This window comes from Homo sapiens, chromosome 6 (assembly GCF_000001405.40).
Source record: "Homo sapiens chromosome 6, GRCh38.p14 Primary Assembly".
Lineage (NCBI taxonomy): Eukaryota > Metazoa > Chordata > Mammalia > Primates > Hominidae > Homo > Homo sapiens.
This window is the reverse complement of record NC_000006.12, coordinates 142,217,212-142,233,804: the sequence shown is the minus strand read 5'-3', so window position 1 is coordinate 142,233,804 and position 16,593 is coordinate 142,217,212. Positions and strand designations below refer to the sequence as shown.

The 16,593-nt window shown below is 37.9% G+C and overlaps 1 protein-coding gene across 3 annotated transcripts in view; it reads right to left on the bottom strand.

Moving 5' to 3' along the window:
- Positions 1–9,119: 9,119 nt before the first annotated feature.
- The window catches only part of VTA1 (vesicle trafficking 1), a 77,423-nt gene continuing 69,949 nt past the window's right edge, over positions 9,120–16,593 (bottom strand). For all 3 annotated transcript variants that reach the window (NM_016485.5, NM_001286371.2, NM_001286372.2), the window contains one exon: positions 9,120–15,307. In NM_016485.5, coding sequence (NP_057569.2) covers positions 15,162–15,307 — 146 coding nt within the window. In that variant the 3' untranslated portion in view covers positions 9,120–15,161. The remainder of the gene's footprint in view (positions 15,308–16,593) is intronic.

Genomic DNA, 16,593 nt, shown 5'->3' with positions numbered 1-16,593 from the left:
TTTCACTAACCAGCTGTGTGATCCCGAGTAAATAACTGCATCTCTCCTGGGTCTCAGGTCCATCCTTTGTAAAATGGAAGGACTGGAAAATATCATCTTTGAGGTCCCTTCCTTCTTTAAGAGTTTGTGAATCAAAGAGTTTAGATCACCTTCATCAACACTACTAAAGCTTTTTACACTTCATTAGGACTGAATTCAAGTTTCTAGGATTATTCATCTTCCCTGAGATGGTTAATACTGAGTGTCAATTTGATTGGATTGGTGTTGGTCTTGGGGGTGTCTGTGAGGGCATTGCCAAAGGAGATTAACATTTGAGATTTGAGTTAGTGGGCTGGAAAAGGCAAACCCACCCTTAATTTGGTGGGCACCATCTAATCTGTTGCCAGTGAATATAAAGCAGAAAGGGAAAAGGAGAGACTGGCCTAGCCTCCCAGCTTACATCTTTCTCCTGTGCTGGATGCTTCCTGCCCTCAAACATGGGACTCCAGGTTCTTCAGTTTTGAGACTCGGACTGGCTCTCCTTGCTCCTCAAGCTTGCAGATGGCCTATTGTGGAACCTTGTGATCAAGTGAGTTAATACTTAATAAACTCCCCTTTATATCTATCTATCTATCCTATTAGTTCTGTCCCTCTAGAGAACCCTGACTAATACATTCCCCAAGTAGTATAAGAATTTAAATGCCTAAACACTAAGACTTTCCTGAGAAGGTAAATTGTGACTGTATTAAACACACCTCGAATAATATGTGCTCCTTCTTCTCAAAAGACTCATTTGGAGGTTCACTCCAGACCCTGTTTGCCTGGGTATCACCAGTGGAGGCTGCAGAACAGCAAATATTGCTGCCTGATCCTTCCTCTGGAGGCTTCGTCCCAGAGGGGCACCTGCCTGTTTGAGGTGTCTGTTGGCCCCTACTGGGAGGTGTTTCCCAGTCAGGCTACACGGGGGTCAGGGACCCACTTGAGGAGGCAGTCTGTCATTCTCGGAGCTCGAACGTCATGTTGAGAGAACCACTGCTCTCTTCAGAGCTGTCGGACAGGGACATTTAAGTCTGCAGAAGCTGTCTGCTGCCTTTTTTTCTACTATGCTCTGCCCCCAGAGGTGGAATCTATAAAGGCAGTAGGCCTTGCTGAGCTGTGGTGGGCTCTGTTCAGTTCATGCTTCCTGGCGTCTTTGTTTACACTGTGAGCTACTCAAGCCTCAGCAATGGCAGACACTCCTCCCCCTGTCAAGCTGCAGCATTGCAGGTTGATCTCAGACTGCTGCGCTAGCAGTGAGCAAGGCTCCGTGGGCATGGGATCTGCCAAGCCAGGCACGAGAGGGCATCTCTTATTCTGCCAGTTGCTAAGACTGTGGGAAAAGTGCAGTATTTGATCAGGAGTGTACCATTTCTCCAGGTACAGTCTGTCACGGCTTCCCTTGGCTAGGAAAGGGAAATCCCCCAGCCCCTTGCACTTCCTGGGTAAGGCGATGCCCTGCCCTACTTCAGCTTGCCCTCCATCTCACTAAGAGCTGCAGACTGGAGCTGTTCCTATTTGGCCATCTTGGAAGTGACTCCTTTTTTTGAGATGGAGTCTTGCTTTGTCACCCAGGCTAGAGTGCAGTGGCCTGATCTCGCCTCACTGCAATCTCCACCTCCTGGGGTTCAAGCAATTCTCTTGCCTCAGCCTCCCAAGTAGCTGGGACTACAGGTGCCCACCACCATGCCCGGCCAATTTTTGTATTTTTAGTAGAGACGTGGTTTTGCCATGTTGGCCAGGCTGGTCTCTAACTCCGGATCCCGGGTGATCTGCCTGCCTTGGCCTCCCAAAGTGCTGGGATTATAGGCATGAGCCACCATGCCCAGTACACATTGATTTTATATCCTGAGACTTTCCTGAAGTTGCTGATCAGCTTAAGAAGCTTTTGGGCTTTTCTGCATCTGTTGCAGTAATCATGTGGTTTTTGTCATTGGTTCTTTTTATGTGATGGATTACGTTTGTTGATTTGCATATGTAGAACCAGCCTTGAATCCGAGGGATGAAGCCAACTTGATTGTCATGGATAACGTTTTGATGTGCTGCTGGATTTAGTTTGCCAGTATTTTACTGAGGATTTTTGCATCAATGTACTTCTGGGATATTGGCCTAAAATTATCTTTTTTTGTTGTGTCTCTCCCAGGCTTTGGCATCAGGATGATGCTAGCCTCATAAAAGGCCTTTGACAAAATTCAACAGCCCTTCATGCTAAAAATGCTCAATAAACTAGGTATTGATGGAATGTATCTCAAAATAATAAGAGCTATTTATGACAAACCCACAGCCAATATCATACTGAATGGGCAAAAACTGAAAGCATTATTCCCTTTGAAAATAGGCACAAGACGAGGATGAAGGATGCCCTCTCCCACCACTCCTATTCAACATAGTGTCAGAAGTTCTGGCTAGGGCAATCAGGCAACAGAAAGAAATAAAGGTATTCAATTAGGAAAAGAAGAAGTCAAATTGTCTCTGTTTGCAGATGACATGATTGTATATTTGGAAAACCCCATCGTCTCAGCCCCAAATCTCCTTAAGCTGATAAGCAACTTCAGCAAAGTCTCAGGATACAAAATCAACGTGCAAAAATCACAAGCATTCCTATACACCAATAATAGACAAACAGAGAGCCAAATCATGAGTGGGTGCCCATTCACAATTACTGCAAAGAGAATAAAATACCTAGGAATACAACTTACAAGGGATGTGAAGGACCTCTTCAAGGAGAACTACAAACCAGTGCTCAACAAAATAAAAGAGGACACAAACAAATGGAAGAGCATTTCATGCTCATGGATAGGAAGAATCAATATCATGAAAAGGGCCATACTGCCCAAGGTAACTTATACATTCAATGCTATCCCCATCAAGCTACCACTGACTTCCTTCACAGAATTGGAAAAAACTACTTTAAAGTTCATATGGAACCAAAAAAGAGCACGCATAGCCAAGACAATTCTAAGCAAAAAGAACAAAGCTGGAGGCATCACACTACCTGACTTCAAACTATACTACAAGTGTACAGTAACCAAAACAGCATGGTGCCAGTACCAAAACAGATATATAGACCAATGGAACAGAACAGAGGCCTCAGAAATAACACCACACATCTACAACCATCTGATCTTTGACAAACCTGACAAAAACAAACAATGGGTAAAGGATTCCCTATTTGATAAATGGTGCTGGGAAAACTGGCTAGCCATATGTAGAAAGCTAAAACTGGATCCCTTCCGTATACAAAAATTAACTCAAGATGGATTAAAGACTTAAATGTAAGACCTAACACCATAAAAACCCTAGAAGAAAACCTAGGCAATACCATTCAGGACATAGGTATGGGCAAAGACTACAAGACTAAAACACCAAAGCAATGGCAACAAAAGCCAAAATAGACAAATGGAATCTAATTAAACTAAAGAGCTTCTGCACAGCCAAAGAAACTATCATCAGAGTGAACAGGCAACTTACAGAATGGGAGAAAATCTTTGCAATCTACTCATCTGACAAAGGGCTAATATCCAGAATCTACAAAGAACTCAAACAAATTTATAAGAAAAAAACAAATAACCCCATCAAAAAGTGGGAAAAGTATATAAACAGACACTTCTCAAAAGAAGACATTTATTCAACCAATAGACATATGAAAAAATGCTCATCATCACTGGTCATCAGAGAAATGCCAATCAAAACCACAACGAGATAACATCTCATGCCATTTAGAATAGCGATCATTTAAAAAGTCAGGAAACAACAGATGCTGGAGAGGATGTGGAGAAAAAGGAATGCTTTTACACTGTGGTGGGGGTGTAAATTAGTTCAACCATTGTGGAAGACAGTGTGGCAATTCCTCAAGGATCTAGAACTAGAGATACCATTTGACCCAGCAATCCCATTACTGGGTATATACTCAAAGGATTATAAATCATGCTACTATAAAGACACATGCACACGTATGTTTATTGTGGCACTATTCACAATAGCAAAGACTTGATCAACCCAAATGTCCATCAATGATAGACTAGATTAAGAAAATGTGGCACATATACACCATGGAATACTATGCAGCCATAAAAAAGGTTGAATTCATGTCCTTTGCAGAGACATGGATAAAGCTAGAAAGCATCCATTCTAAGCCAACTATCACAAGGACAGAAAACCAAACACCATATGTTCTGACTCATAGGTGAGAGTTGAACAACAAGAACACACGGACACAGGGCAGGGAACATCACACACCGGGGCCTGTTGGAGCGTGGGGGCAGGGGGAGGGATAGCACTGGGAGAAATACCTAATGGAAATGACGAGTTGATGGGTGCAGCAAACCAACATGGCACATGTATACCTATGTAACAAACCTGCATGTTGTGCACATGTACCTTAGAACTTAAGGTATAATAAAAAAAATCAATGTGCAAAAATTAGTAGCATTCCTATACACCAACAACAGGCAAGCAGAGACCAAATCATGAATGAATTCCCATTCACAATTGCCACAAAAAGAATAAAATACCTAGGAGTACAGCCAACAAGGGACATAAAGAACCTCTTTAGGGTGCACTACAAACCACTTCTCAAAGAATTCAGCGAGGACAAAAACAAATGGAGCAATATTTTATGCTTATGCATAGGAAGAATCAATATGGTGAAAATGGCCATACTGCCCAAAGTAATTTATAGATTCAATACTATTCTCATTGAGTATTCTCATTGAGCTGCCATTGACATTCTTCACAGAATTAGAAAATCTTTTTTAAAATTTATATGGAAGCAAAAAAGAGTCTGTATAGCGAAGACAATCCTAAACAAAAAGAACAAAGCTGGAGGCATCATAGTACATGACTTCAAACTATACTATAAGGCTACAGTAACCAAAGCAGCATGGTAATGGTACAAGAACAGACACAGAGACCAATGGAACAGGATAGAGAACTCAGAAATAAGACTGCACTCCTACAACCATCTGATCTTCAATAAAGTTGACAAAAACAAGCAATGGGGAGAGGATTCCCTATTTACTAAATGGTGCTGGAAGTGCTGGCTAGTCATATGCAGAAAATTGAAACTGGACCCCTTTCTTACACCATATACAAAAATCAACTCAAGATGGATTAAAGACTTAAATGTAAATCCCAGAATTATAAAAGCCCTAGAAGAAAACCCAGGCAATACCATTCGGGGCATAGGTGCAGGCAAAGATTTCATGACAAAAACACCAAAAGCAATTGCAGCAAAAGCAAAAATTGACAAATGGTATCTAATTAAACTAAGGACCTTCTGCACAGTAAAAGAGTGAACAGACAACCTACAGAATAGGGTAAAATTTTTGCAATCTATCTATCTGACAAAGGTCTAACATCCAGAGTTTACAAGGAACTTAAACAGATTTACAAGAAAAACCAGACAACCTCATTTAAAAGTGGGCAAAAGACATGAACAGGACACTTCTCAAAATAAGACATACATGTGGCCAAGAAACATACGAAAAAAGCTCAACACCACTGATCATTAGAAAAATGCAAAGCAAAGCCACAATCAGATACCATCTCATGCCAGTCAGTATGGCAATCATTATAAAGTCAACAAACAACAGATTCTGATAAGGTTGTGGAGGAAAAGGAACACTTCTACACTGTTGGTGGGAGTGTAAATTAGTTCAACCATTGTGGAAGACAGTATGGTGTTTCCTCAAAGATCTAGAAGCAGAAATACCATTTGACCCAGGAATCCCATTACTGGGTATATATCCAAAGTAATATAAATCATTCTATTATAAAGATACATGGATGCATATGTTCACTGCAGCACTATTCACAATAGCAAAGACATGGAATCAACTCAAATGCCCATCAATGATAGACTGGATCAAGAAAGTGTAGTACATATACACCATGGAATACTACACAGCCATAAAAAGGAACACTATCATGTCCTTTGTAGGGACATGGATGGAGCCAGAAGCCGTTATCATGAGCAAACTAATGCAGGAACAGAAAACAAAACACTACATGTTCTCACTTATAAGTGGGAATCAAAGGATGAGAACACATGGACATGTAGGGGGCAGGGGACAACACACACTGGGGCCTGCTGATGGTGGAAGGTTGGGGGTAGAGAGAGCATCAGGAAGAAAAGCTAATGGATGCTGGGCTTAATACCTAGGTGATGGGATGATCTGGGCAGCAAACCACCATGGCACATTTTTACTTATGTAACAAACCTGAACATCTTGTTCATGTACCCCTGAAGTTAAAGTAACAGTTGAAGAAGAAAAATAGAGGTAGGGGCTTCTGGGAAGTGCTTAAGTCATGAGGGCAGAGCCTTCATGAATGGGATTAGTGCCCTTATAAAAGAGGCCGGGATGAGCTTGTTTGCCCCTTCTGCCATGTGAGGACACAGCAAGAAGGCACCATCTATAAAGCAGAGAGCCCTCACCAGATACTGAATCTGCTGGTGCCTTGATTTTGGACTTCCCAGCCTCCAGAATTGTAAGCAGTACATTTCTATTGTTTATAAATTACCCAGTCCGAGGTATTTTGTTGTAGCCTGAATGGACTAAGACAAGGTAGTAGGCTAAACTTTAAAACTCAAATTAATAAAACATGTAAACAAGGAGTAATTTGTTTCAAAAATATATTCATTGACATATTGAATGGATATATAACTAAACAGCCTCTCCTTAGGACTAACATGGCTATTTCACTGCTATTGACACAAGTTACTTGCTTTCCCACCATCATATTTTTCCTCTTATGCCTCCTCTTACCTTAATTACCCATCTCACTTTCCCTATTGAAATTCTACTCATTCTGTAAGGTGCAACTCAGATGCTGTCATCCCAGTGAAATGTAATGACGCAGTTACCACAGTTTGGAAAAAAAAATATTTAAGTTTCGATAGCAATGCATTAGTGTGCCTTCTCTTTGGCATTTTAACTATGCCTTCAATTATGTTTGTGCACATCTGTGTCCCTAAATAGACGTTAAGCTCCTGAGCGGCAGACACCTCTAATGAAAACTTCATGTCCTCAGTGCTTTGCACTTAACCAAAGTGTGTTGAACTGATATTAATTGAATATCTACCGTGTCTCTGCAGTAGGTCAAAGTTCATTCATCAGAAATGGTTCAATCTTTTGCAGTGATTTTGTAGAGACGTAACTACCTAGTATGACAGGAACAAAAAAGTCATCTCCAACATTGGCAGATGAGATTAGAAAATAAGTTACTCGCTGATTTACTTTGCTTTTTGTTCCACACAATTAAAACAACATTTTCAGAGGGATTACTGATACATATGTATATATCTGATATATATCATACATAGACATATATACAAATATACTATTTAACAGGATTCTGTATGCTATTCTACCTTCAAAGCTGAGATTTTTCTCATAAATGGTACCAAAAAATAATAAATTCATCTCAGAGTTTTTCTATAGAAACTTGGAATAGATTCTTCTAAGCTGCTTGGTTGGCAGACTTTTGGAAATACTTATAGGAGGATACTTACAAACAGTATCTCAAGATAGTATTGAAAAAAGGATCAACAAGAATATATACTTGTTTGTAAATAACTAAACACCTCTTGTGTTTCCCTTTAAATTCAGGACCAAAAAAGGCAGACATGTTGTTTGCAATCTTCATCAATGTAGAAATAAAATCTCCATTCAGGAGAAAAACATCAGTGAATTATTTTTATACCATTCTATCTCGGAGTCACCCCCAACAATAGTTCACTGAAGAAAAAAAACAACGTGTCATTCAGGGTCATAAGGGCCAATTTATTTTGGATCCAATGTGCTAGTCATATTTTTTAATGGTTCCATCAGTTATTGAGAGGGTGTCAAAATCTGTTTTTCTCTTTGCAGTTGTATTGGCTTTTGCTTCACGTATTTTAAACCTCTGTGGGTAGGCACATAAACCTTTAAGATTGTTATATCCTCTTGATTGAGCCACTTCATCATTATGAAATGACTCTGTTTATCTTTGGTAATGCTCTTTGCTCTTAAATCTTCGTCAGGTTTGTGCTCGTTGACAATCTTTACACTGGCAGAAGAATATTCCCTGCCCATAGAAACAGCAATTATTTTGCAATTACAGTCTTTCGTTTAACCTAGTTCAAATGGATTTATTTACTGAATTCTTGGCATATTAACAGAAAGTGTTCGGGGGATATTTAATCACAGAATAGGATGACTGTCAAGATTTAAGTTTTAAAAACATGTTATAATTTGTCTAGTTAAAATGAGGGCGTTTCAAGGGCCACACACCTAATCCCAAATTTTGTTTGCAGAAGTCTAAGTATTATTCAGAGACTTGAATATTAGATCTCCAAAACACCGTAGAAATCTAGTTTTGCCTGCTCCTGGTTGTTGTGGGAAAACTAAAGCTCACAGGAGGTTCAGAAGGGCCAATTTTCTGGTAGACAGAACAGATTGCCACAGTGAGCGTACCAGAACATCAGCTTCCTGACTCAGAACAGACCCCTCTGCGTGACAGCGTTCTGTGCCTATGGTTTTCTCATCTTCACACCTTTTTTTCAGTTGCTTATCTTTGAACCAGTAGGCAGAAGAAAAGATTAACTATTGAGGAAAAAAAAATCAAATGAGTTCTGACTTTCCCAAAATGTTCAGATGTCATTGGTGGCTTTAATTTTAAACTTCCTCTTGTCTCTTCATCTGGAGCAATAATCTTCCAGTTACAATTTCCTCAGTCACCATAAATATTTTCAATTTTCAATGTGGTCTAAATATTTTCTCCCATTTTTAAGATACACATTGCTACTTCTTCACTCCATTGAGCTTGAATATATTAATCTCTGCCAGAGTATAGACAGACCAAGAACATATAAGCTGCTAACAAGTATCATATATGTCTGTGACTAGGATGTTATTAGTGTATATTCTAAGAATGTCCTGAGCATACCTGACATCATGCTTCATGGTGTCAAAAGATAAAGAACCATGCATTCGAATTAAGAATCGAGACTTGCTGGGTGGCATGGACTGGATTTTTTTGATAAGTAAGATTAATATGTGATTTCAGAACGTTTTGATGCAATTATTATAATCTTAAATCACTATGATATAATAGAACAGAGGTTTCTGAACACAACCTTTATTTGATCATTTTAGTATATATTTTTTTGCCCATTCGTATATTTATTTCACCAGGTCAGAATACTTACAATGCATCAAGCTTCATGTGAATTACCAGGAATTCACAAATGTATAAAATATCAAGGAACTTAGCATCTAATGAGGGAGACACATGTAAATAAATAAAGTTTAACTTACGTGATACATAAAGTTAAGTGATCAATAGTAATTTTGTCAAGTTACTGTTGTTTCTCAGGTATTACTGGTTTTATACAGAAAGCATTGTATACAGAAAATATATAAGCATGGCACAATAGACCGTCCAGTGTCCTTGTCCCGTCTCAGAGGACTCCGAATATCCCCTATATCACAATACAAATAACATAGCCGAGGGGTCGAAAAGACAAAACAATTCCATGGGATGAATTAAAGCAGGCAACTGATAGGGTTGAGAGCATATTCGAGCCTCTGCGTGTCCTCACATGGCCTCTTCTCTGTACACGTGCAGAATGAGCCAGCTCCGGTGGCTCTTCCTCTTCTTGTAATGACAGCAGACCTATAGGATTAGGGCCTCACCTTTATGATCTCATGTAACCTTAATTGCCTCCCTATGGGACCTGCCTCTGAACACAGACACACTGGAGATCAGTGCTTCAAAATATGAATTCTGAAGGGATACAATTTAGTCATAACACATTCCCTAGCCCCCCGCCCCAGCCATAATACATTTACACTCCTGGCCTCCATAGGCCATATGCATAGTAACACTAAATTACTCGAGTTACCTGAATTGCCCACATTTGTTCCTCCATGGTGTTGCTTGTGCTTTTCTCTCTGCTAACTTCTCCTTGCTTCCCTGCCTGCCAAACCTTCAGCTCAACCTTATCTGTGAAGCTTTCCCTGACTTTAGGAAGAATTATTGTAACTCGTATATAATATCCAGTATGGCATTATCATATTAAATATTTGATGGTAGATGCTCAATACATATTAATATTTTTGAACATATGAATGACTTAATATTTGACAAGACTTCCCAATATTGCTGAACTCTGAAGCCAGTTCCCCATTAAGTTATATTCATGGAATACTGCTATGCAATTATGTCTTTCCCTCCAAACTTGATATATGAAGTAAGAGACAGGGGCTTTTGCCTAAGACTTTCAGGGAGAAATTTAATTGAGGAAGTATCTAATAATAAACATTATTGCTAATTTTATATTTTCAGTCCGTATCTCAATCTTATTTCCTGAAGATGAAGAATTTTTAGTTAGGAAAGACAGTGATGTTATTTAAAATAAAAAGGATAAAACAGGCACATCTGGGAAACCCAGACTCCCTAATGATGTGGAACACCTTCTCCAAAATGACCTATAAATCCATTGTAGCATTACTCAAACCCTGCTTAGTGTCCCCTTGGATTGCTGCAGTCCATACAATTTCAGGTCATAGATCAGTGTATATTCCAGATATTGAGGGTGCAATCAGATTTTCAAGTTCATACCCTGTGTTCACTGCCTAGCACTGTCAATTGGAACATATGGCCCAGATAATAGAAAAATTTAGGTGCTAACACCTCACTAATAAAAGGAACTGTCCAATGACCTTGATAATGTGGAACTCATAACATCTCATTGTACTTACAATGTAACAGGTGACTTACTGACATGGATGATACTTCTTATGATCTGAAACAGGCAGTCTGAGCTTAGAAATAAATATTAGCTGTGTTACCTTAGGCAAATTTGTTACTCTGTGGCTCCCTTTCCTCATCTTAAAACAGAAATAAAGCCTACCTCTCAGGACCACTGTGAAGATTAAATGAATTAATATATGCAAAATACTTAGAATAGTATCTGACATTTAGTAAACATTGAAATGTTAGCTATTATGATTATTATTGAAGTGTTGCTTACTTAGAATTTGTCCTACTTAAGTGTACTCCAATGAACAAGCCTGCAGTCTTAGAATTCCACATAGACTTCAAAGATTACAACCAACCAGGGAAGGATACTTCTCATATGAAAACCAAAACCCATCAACTCCATTAGCTATTATTCTTTTAGAGTTGAAAATATTTGTACAATGCTGCTATTAGGGTGTTTCTTTAGAAAAGACAGTATATAATCTTTCAATGCATACATAGAATTCTCAAATTTCTAGAATTACAAGTCATATATAAATTCTAAAAACATCTGAGGATATTAATTTTCAAGACCCATAACTGGAGTCTTTTTCTTGGTGTAGTCCTGATGTCAGTAAACTTCCTAGGCCATGCTAACCATGGGAACTATTCTTGGCTTGCAGCTCCAGTTCAGCAGTGATTTGGTGAGATATCTGTGGCAATCATTGTCAGCAGAACCTTATTTCTTCTTCTCCCTCTGCCGCATTGACAAAACACCGTTATCAGTTTCACTTGGGCTGGTCACAAAAACTTGGAAACATTGTACTTCAGTCTAAGTGAGAGAGGAATTCGGCAACTTTCCCTACTGCAGTACATGATTACTCATTCCTTTCAGGCATTCAGGTGAAAAATCTGGAGTCAACCTTTACTCCTTCTCTTATGTTCGTACCTCACATCCAGTTTACAGAAATCCTGTGGCTCTACCTAAAAAAAAGCCGCCAGAAACCAATCCCGTTTTATTACCTCCAAGGCTACTCCTGGACTAAGACATCATAATATCTCACCTTGATTATTGTAATACTTTTTTTTTTTTTGAGAAGGAGTCTCGCTCTGTCGCCCAGGCTGGAGTGCAGTGGCACGATCTCGGCTCACTGCAACCTCCGCCTCCTGGGTTCAAGCGATTCTCCTGCCTCAGCCTCTTCAGTAGCTGAGATTAGAGGTATGTGCCACCATGCCAGGCTAATATATATATTATATATTTATTAATATATTTATGATTTATATATAAATACATATTTATATATTAATAAATATATACTCCTGACCTCAGATGATCCGCCTGCCTTGGCTCCCAAAGTGCTGGGATTGCAGGTGCGAACCACCGCCCCCGGCCTATTGTTAATACTCTTTTTAACTGGTCTCCCAGCTTCCTCCCTTACTTACCACCCACCTTACGGTCTATTCTCAACATAGGAGCCAATATGATTATTTCAAAAGTTAAGTCACATCAGGCTACGTTTCTTCTGAAAACCTTTCCATATAGCTCCCAGTCAAGTGTCTTACAAAAAAGCTTTATGATCCTAAGCTTTTAGCTCCCTCACCAGCCTTTCTCCTGCTTTTACCCTCTGACCTGATTTCTGTCTACCTGTTGGGAATGCTCTTCCTCCATGTATGTATCTGCATACTAGTTACTCTTTTCCTTCTTTGCTCAAATGTTACCTCAGGGAGGTCTATCCTGGCTATTCTATTGAAATATGCATATGTCTGTACACACCTAAGCATCTCCTATCCTGTCCTCAATGTTTCCTCCATAGCATTTATCACTATTTAATACAGAAGTTCCCATAGTGTGGTCCCCAGAACTTTCTAGCAAGTTCGCAGGTGATGCTGATGCCGGTCGTCCAGAGACACCTTTGAGAACCGGTTTGAGGAGAATCTCTTTTCTCAGACTTGCAATATTTCTGATTTGGGTAGAGCTAAACCACTCGAACTTTAGGGACCACCTTAAGTGTCTCTTAAAACTCAGAAGGCTGGGACCCATCCCTAGAGTTTCTGATTGGGTAGGACAGGTGGGGCCCAAAATTTGTATTTCTAATCACACTCGGAGAGCCACTGATTAAATGTAATGTATATTTTATTATCTATTTCCTCCCTTTTAGAATGTAAACTCTATGAGGGAGGGACTTTTTTTCCTGCTGTTTCTGCTTTCAAAGAACAATACCAGGCATATAGTAGCCATTCAGTAAATATATATGGAAGGAATAAATGAAAATTGCTAATCCTACTGTTACATCAGAACACATCTCCTAATTTTATTTTAAGATTTTATAGGAAAAAATACAAATACAAAGTTAACAAACATTGTATAGTTCAATCCCCTCATGCAAGAAGGCGTTTTTAAGCACTGGGCCACATAGACAACTGGGATTTCCTGATATTAGGGAAATAAATTATTAACAATTTACATTATTAGAGCATTAGTATTGACACTAAACATTTATGAAATGCTACCATGCGCTAAGCACTTCAGGTACTGTATCTCTTTTAATTCTTGTAACTATTGAGATGGCTAGTGGTGTCATTTCCATTTTACAGAGAAGGGCTCTGTCACACCATGCAGCCCACTACCAGCGGACTCCGTAGTTTCTATATTGTCTCCTTCCCTCTATGTGCTCTCCCAATTGGGAACCAGAAGGTAGGGTATAAAATAGGAGGTGATGCGTTTACTTTTCAGTGTCCAGGCATATCAAGGTTTGAATTAAAATTTGCTGAACATCATGTAACACTAAAGGTCATCCTGGCCATCTTTCTATTCGTAATAACATTCTAAAGAGCATTGGATTTCTAGATGCAAATGTGGAACCCTACAAATGTTCATACCTCTTGTAAAAGATAGGAAAATGTTTTTTAGGAGGCATGTTGTTTGGGGACTTTTTTGTGAGGATTTAGAACAGTTTAGTCAGTCTGAATATTTATTCTACCAAACCCTGTACAATAGCATTACATTTATGCAGAAAATAATGGATATAAATGATTATGAGTTAGTGATTTGTTTTTTCCCAAAAGGCCATTAGACTAGGTGTCTTAACTTTTTCTTAGAGGGCCAAATAGTAAATGTTTTTAGACTTGCAAGCCATACAACTCTGCAGTTGTGGAAAGCAACCACAGACAAAACATAAATGAATGAGTGTAGGCTTGTTTCAAAGAAACTTTATTTACGTAACAGGTGGCCAATCCATGGGCCAAAGCTTGCTGACCCTTGTGTTTAAAGATTCCCATCTTAGTAGCATGAATAAAATGGACCAGATAAATTTCAGTTAACTTTGTCAAATTTATCTTAAAAAACAAAAAACAAAAAACCTGTTTCTTCCTATAGAAACACCCATATTCCTATAAATAAAAATGACTTTTAAAAAAGACAATCCTAGCAGGCAAATAAAAACAGACATTTGTCTTTGTAGTAAGTTGAATTAGCTAAACGAATCCTTGTATTTATTTTTCACACAGCACAAATGCAGGTAGTACACAGTAAGTTCATAATTCCCCACAAAACTTATAAACTTAACAAATGGGAATCTAAACATAATATTCTGAATCACCCATAGCTATCCACTGTGTGGAATCCATTCTACAGCAGCAGAGGAGTACCTTAATTTAAAGCACCAAGTTTCCAGGCATTACTACAAATATCTTCTTTTCATTCTCTAATACATGCAGTCAAACTGCCTATGAAGCAAATACCAATTCATCTTACGCTTTAACAGATAAGGTAAAGCACTTGGGAAATCAACATTATTCTTAAGTCTGAAAGTGATTCTACCTCTTTACCTTATTATATTTTCTCCCATGAAATTTTAAACTTTTAATGGAGTTATATTTAATATGAGAATAAATTAAAATTTGAACTTAATGTCTTTTCAGATTCATCCAGCAGTTTAGAATGTTTATATTTGTTTTATGTCTTGAGGGAAACAAAAACGTAATTTCTAATTTAGAATATTCTGGCTATCTTTATTAAAAGTTACATTTATAATTTTATAGCAAAGTAATATCATCTGTTTGTCCAAACATTACAGATTTTAAAAAATTCCCCTAATGTATGTAAATACAAAGCTTATTCCCAGTACACATTTTATAGAGGTGTGTTTTCATTTTTTGAAGCAGGGTTCAATGGACATTTTTAGGGTCTTGCTAACATCAGCCCTATATACTCAGAGACGATTGAATCTAGTAAATGGACAATGAAAACTGGTTGAGGCTGCTGATGAATGCTTCAATAAAAATCTGATACACACAGATTTCATTGTCATATTCAACAAAACCAAGTCTTCCTTAAAACTGTGATCCTGATAGGCTGAAGATAGAGTAATGGACTGTTAGTTCCTCATGCCAAAAATACATGGGTCTGTCATACAAAGGCTTCATTCTCTGCCTGTCGTCAGTAACTTGAGAGCCTTTTGTAGATTCTGGACAGCAGTGCTTACATCTTCATACTGCAAAGCACTGCCAGCATATTTGCAGTACTTCTGAGCTCTAGCAAAGTCTTCTGGGGTTAGACGAACATCCCCTAGAAGAAAAAGAACAATTGGGATATTTATAAGAATATAAAAAGTGTTCTGTAAGGTTGGGCAAATGCTTATGCTTAAGATTAAAAAACATATTTAAGGCTATGTAAAAACAGTAGTTTTAGTCAATCTCACATGAACTTTGATACATTTTCTTCATTCTTTTCAATTGTCTTTTTATTACTAATATAAACCACAGACACGGCAATACATAATAACTTAGATGAATTAAGATTTTCCTTCAAGAAGCAATAAGGACAAACAAGGATAGCAGCTTTGGTGTCTATGCTAAAATCACTTAGCCTCTCTCTTCATGGAACAATACACACAGACTAAACCAATTCAACCCTCATTTGAGCTGGAATGTAAGTATCACCTTCAATAAAAAAAAAGTGAATAACAAACTTTATGTAAAGAAAACCAGGTTGCTTAGCTTGTTTTAAGCATGAGAGTATTTTACATGTTTGTGCCATCCATGTAAAAATTTCTTAAGGTTTCTTAAATTTTATATCACTGAAATATACAATTAAACATGTAAACAACCATTACATATTATTTCTCTAAAATTTATTCTTAGCAAGTTTTCTAGTTATACATATGATTAACATGTAGTGCCCAACTAAACAATTTCAGTTTAAAAAAAAAACATTAAAAACATTTCATTTAATCTAAGATACGAATTTCCTTGAATATATATTTCTAAAGACAAAATTAAAAATGGACATTGTATCTTGTCTTTTGAAATAACCACCATTTTCTTTGGAAATTTTTATGAGAATTCTCAGGAGTACTAATCAGAAGGCTGGGAGGCATAGACTATAACAAGCAGACAACATATTTCAATTCTGTTTGAAATAAGTACAAGGCTGTACTTAGAATGACTTCGTTTAGTTGCTTTTAATTTTGCCATATGTATATATTTTATGCTGCGTGTGTGTATACACAAATACACACACGCAGCATAAAATTAAAAATTTGACATCACCTAGGCAAAGATTTCAAACTAGGTAGCAACTCCAGGCAAGTGGATACAATATTCTGATCCAAATTATTATTTTCTAAAATTTTCAAAAAGAGTACTGAAACAATTGATGCTACTGTTTCCAGCACAGTGCCAGGCACCTGCAGGTGCTCAGTAACTTCACTGCATGAATATGAAAAAGCTGTATTTTAAATTATTTCCCACATTTTAAAACTAAGTTCATATAGAATTAAACATTAATTAAATTGCAGATTTTAAAATACACATATACTTACTAGTGTAGGGTGCTAGAGTAAGTCTTCAAAT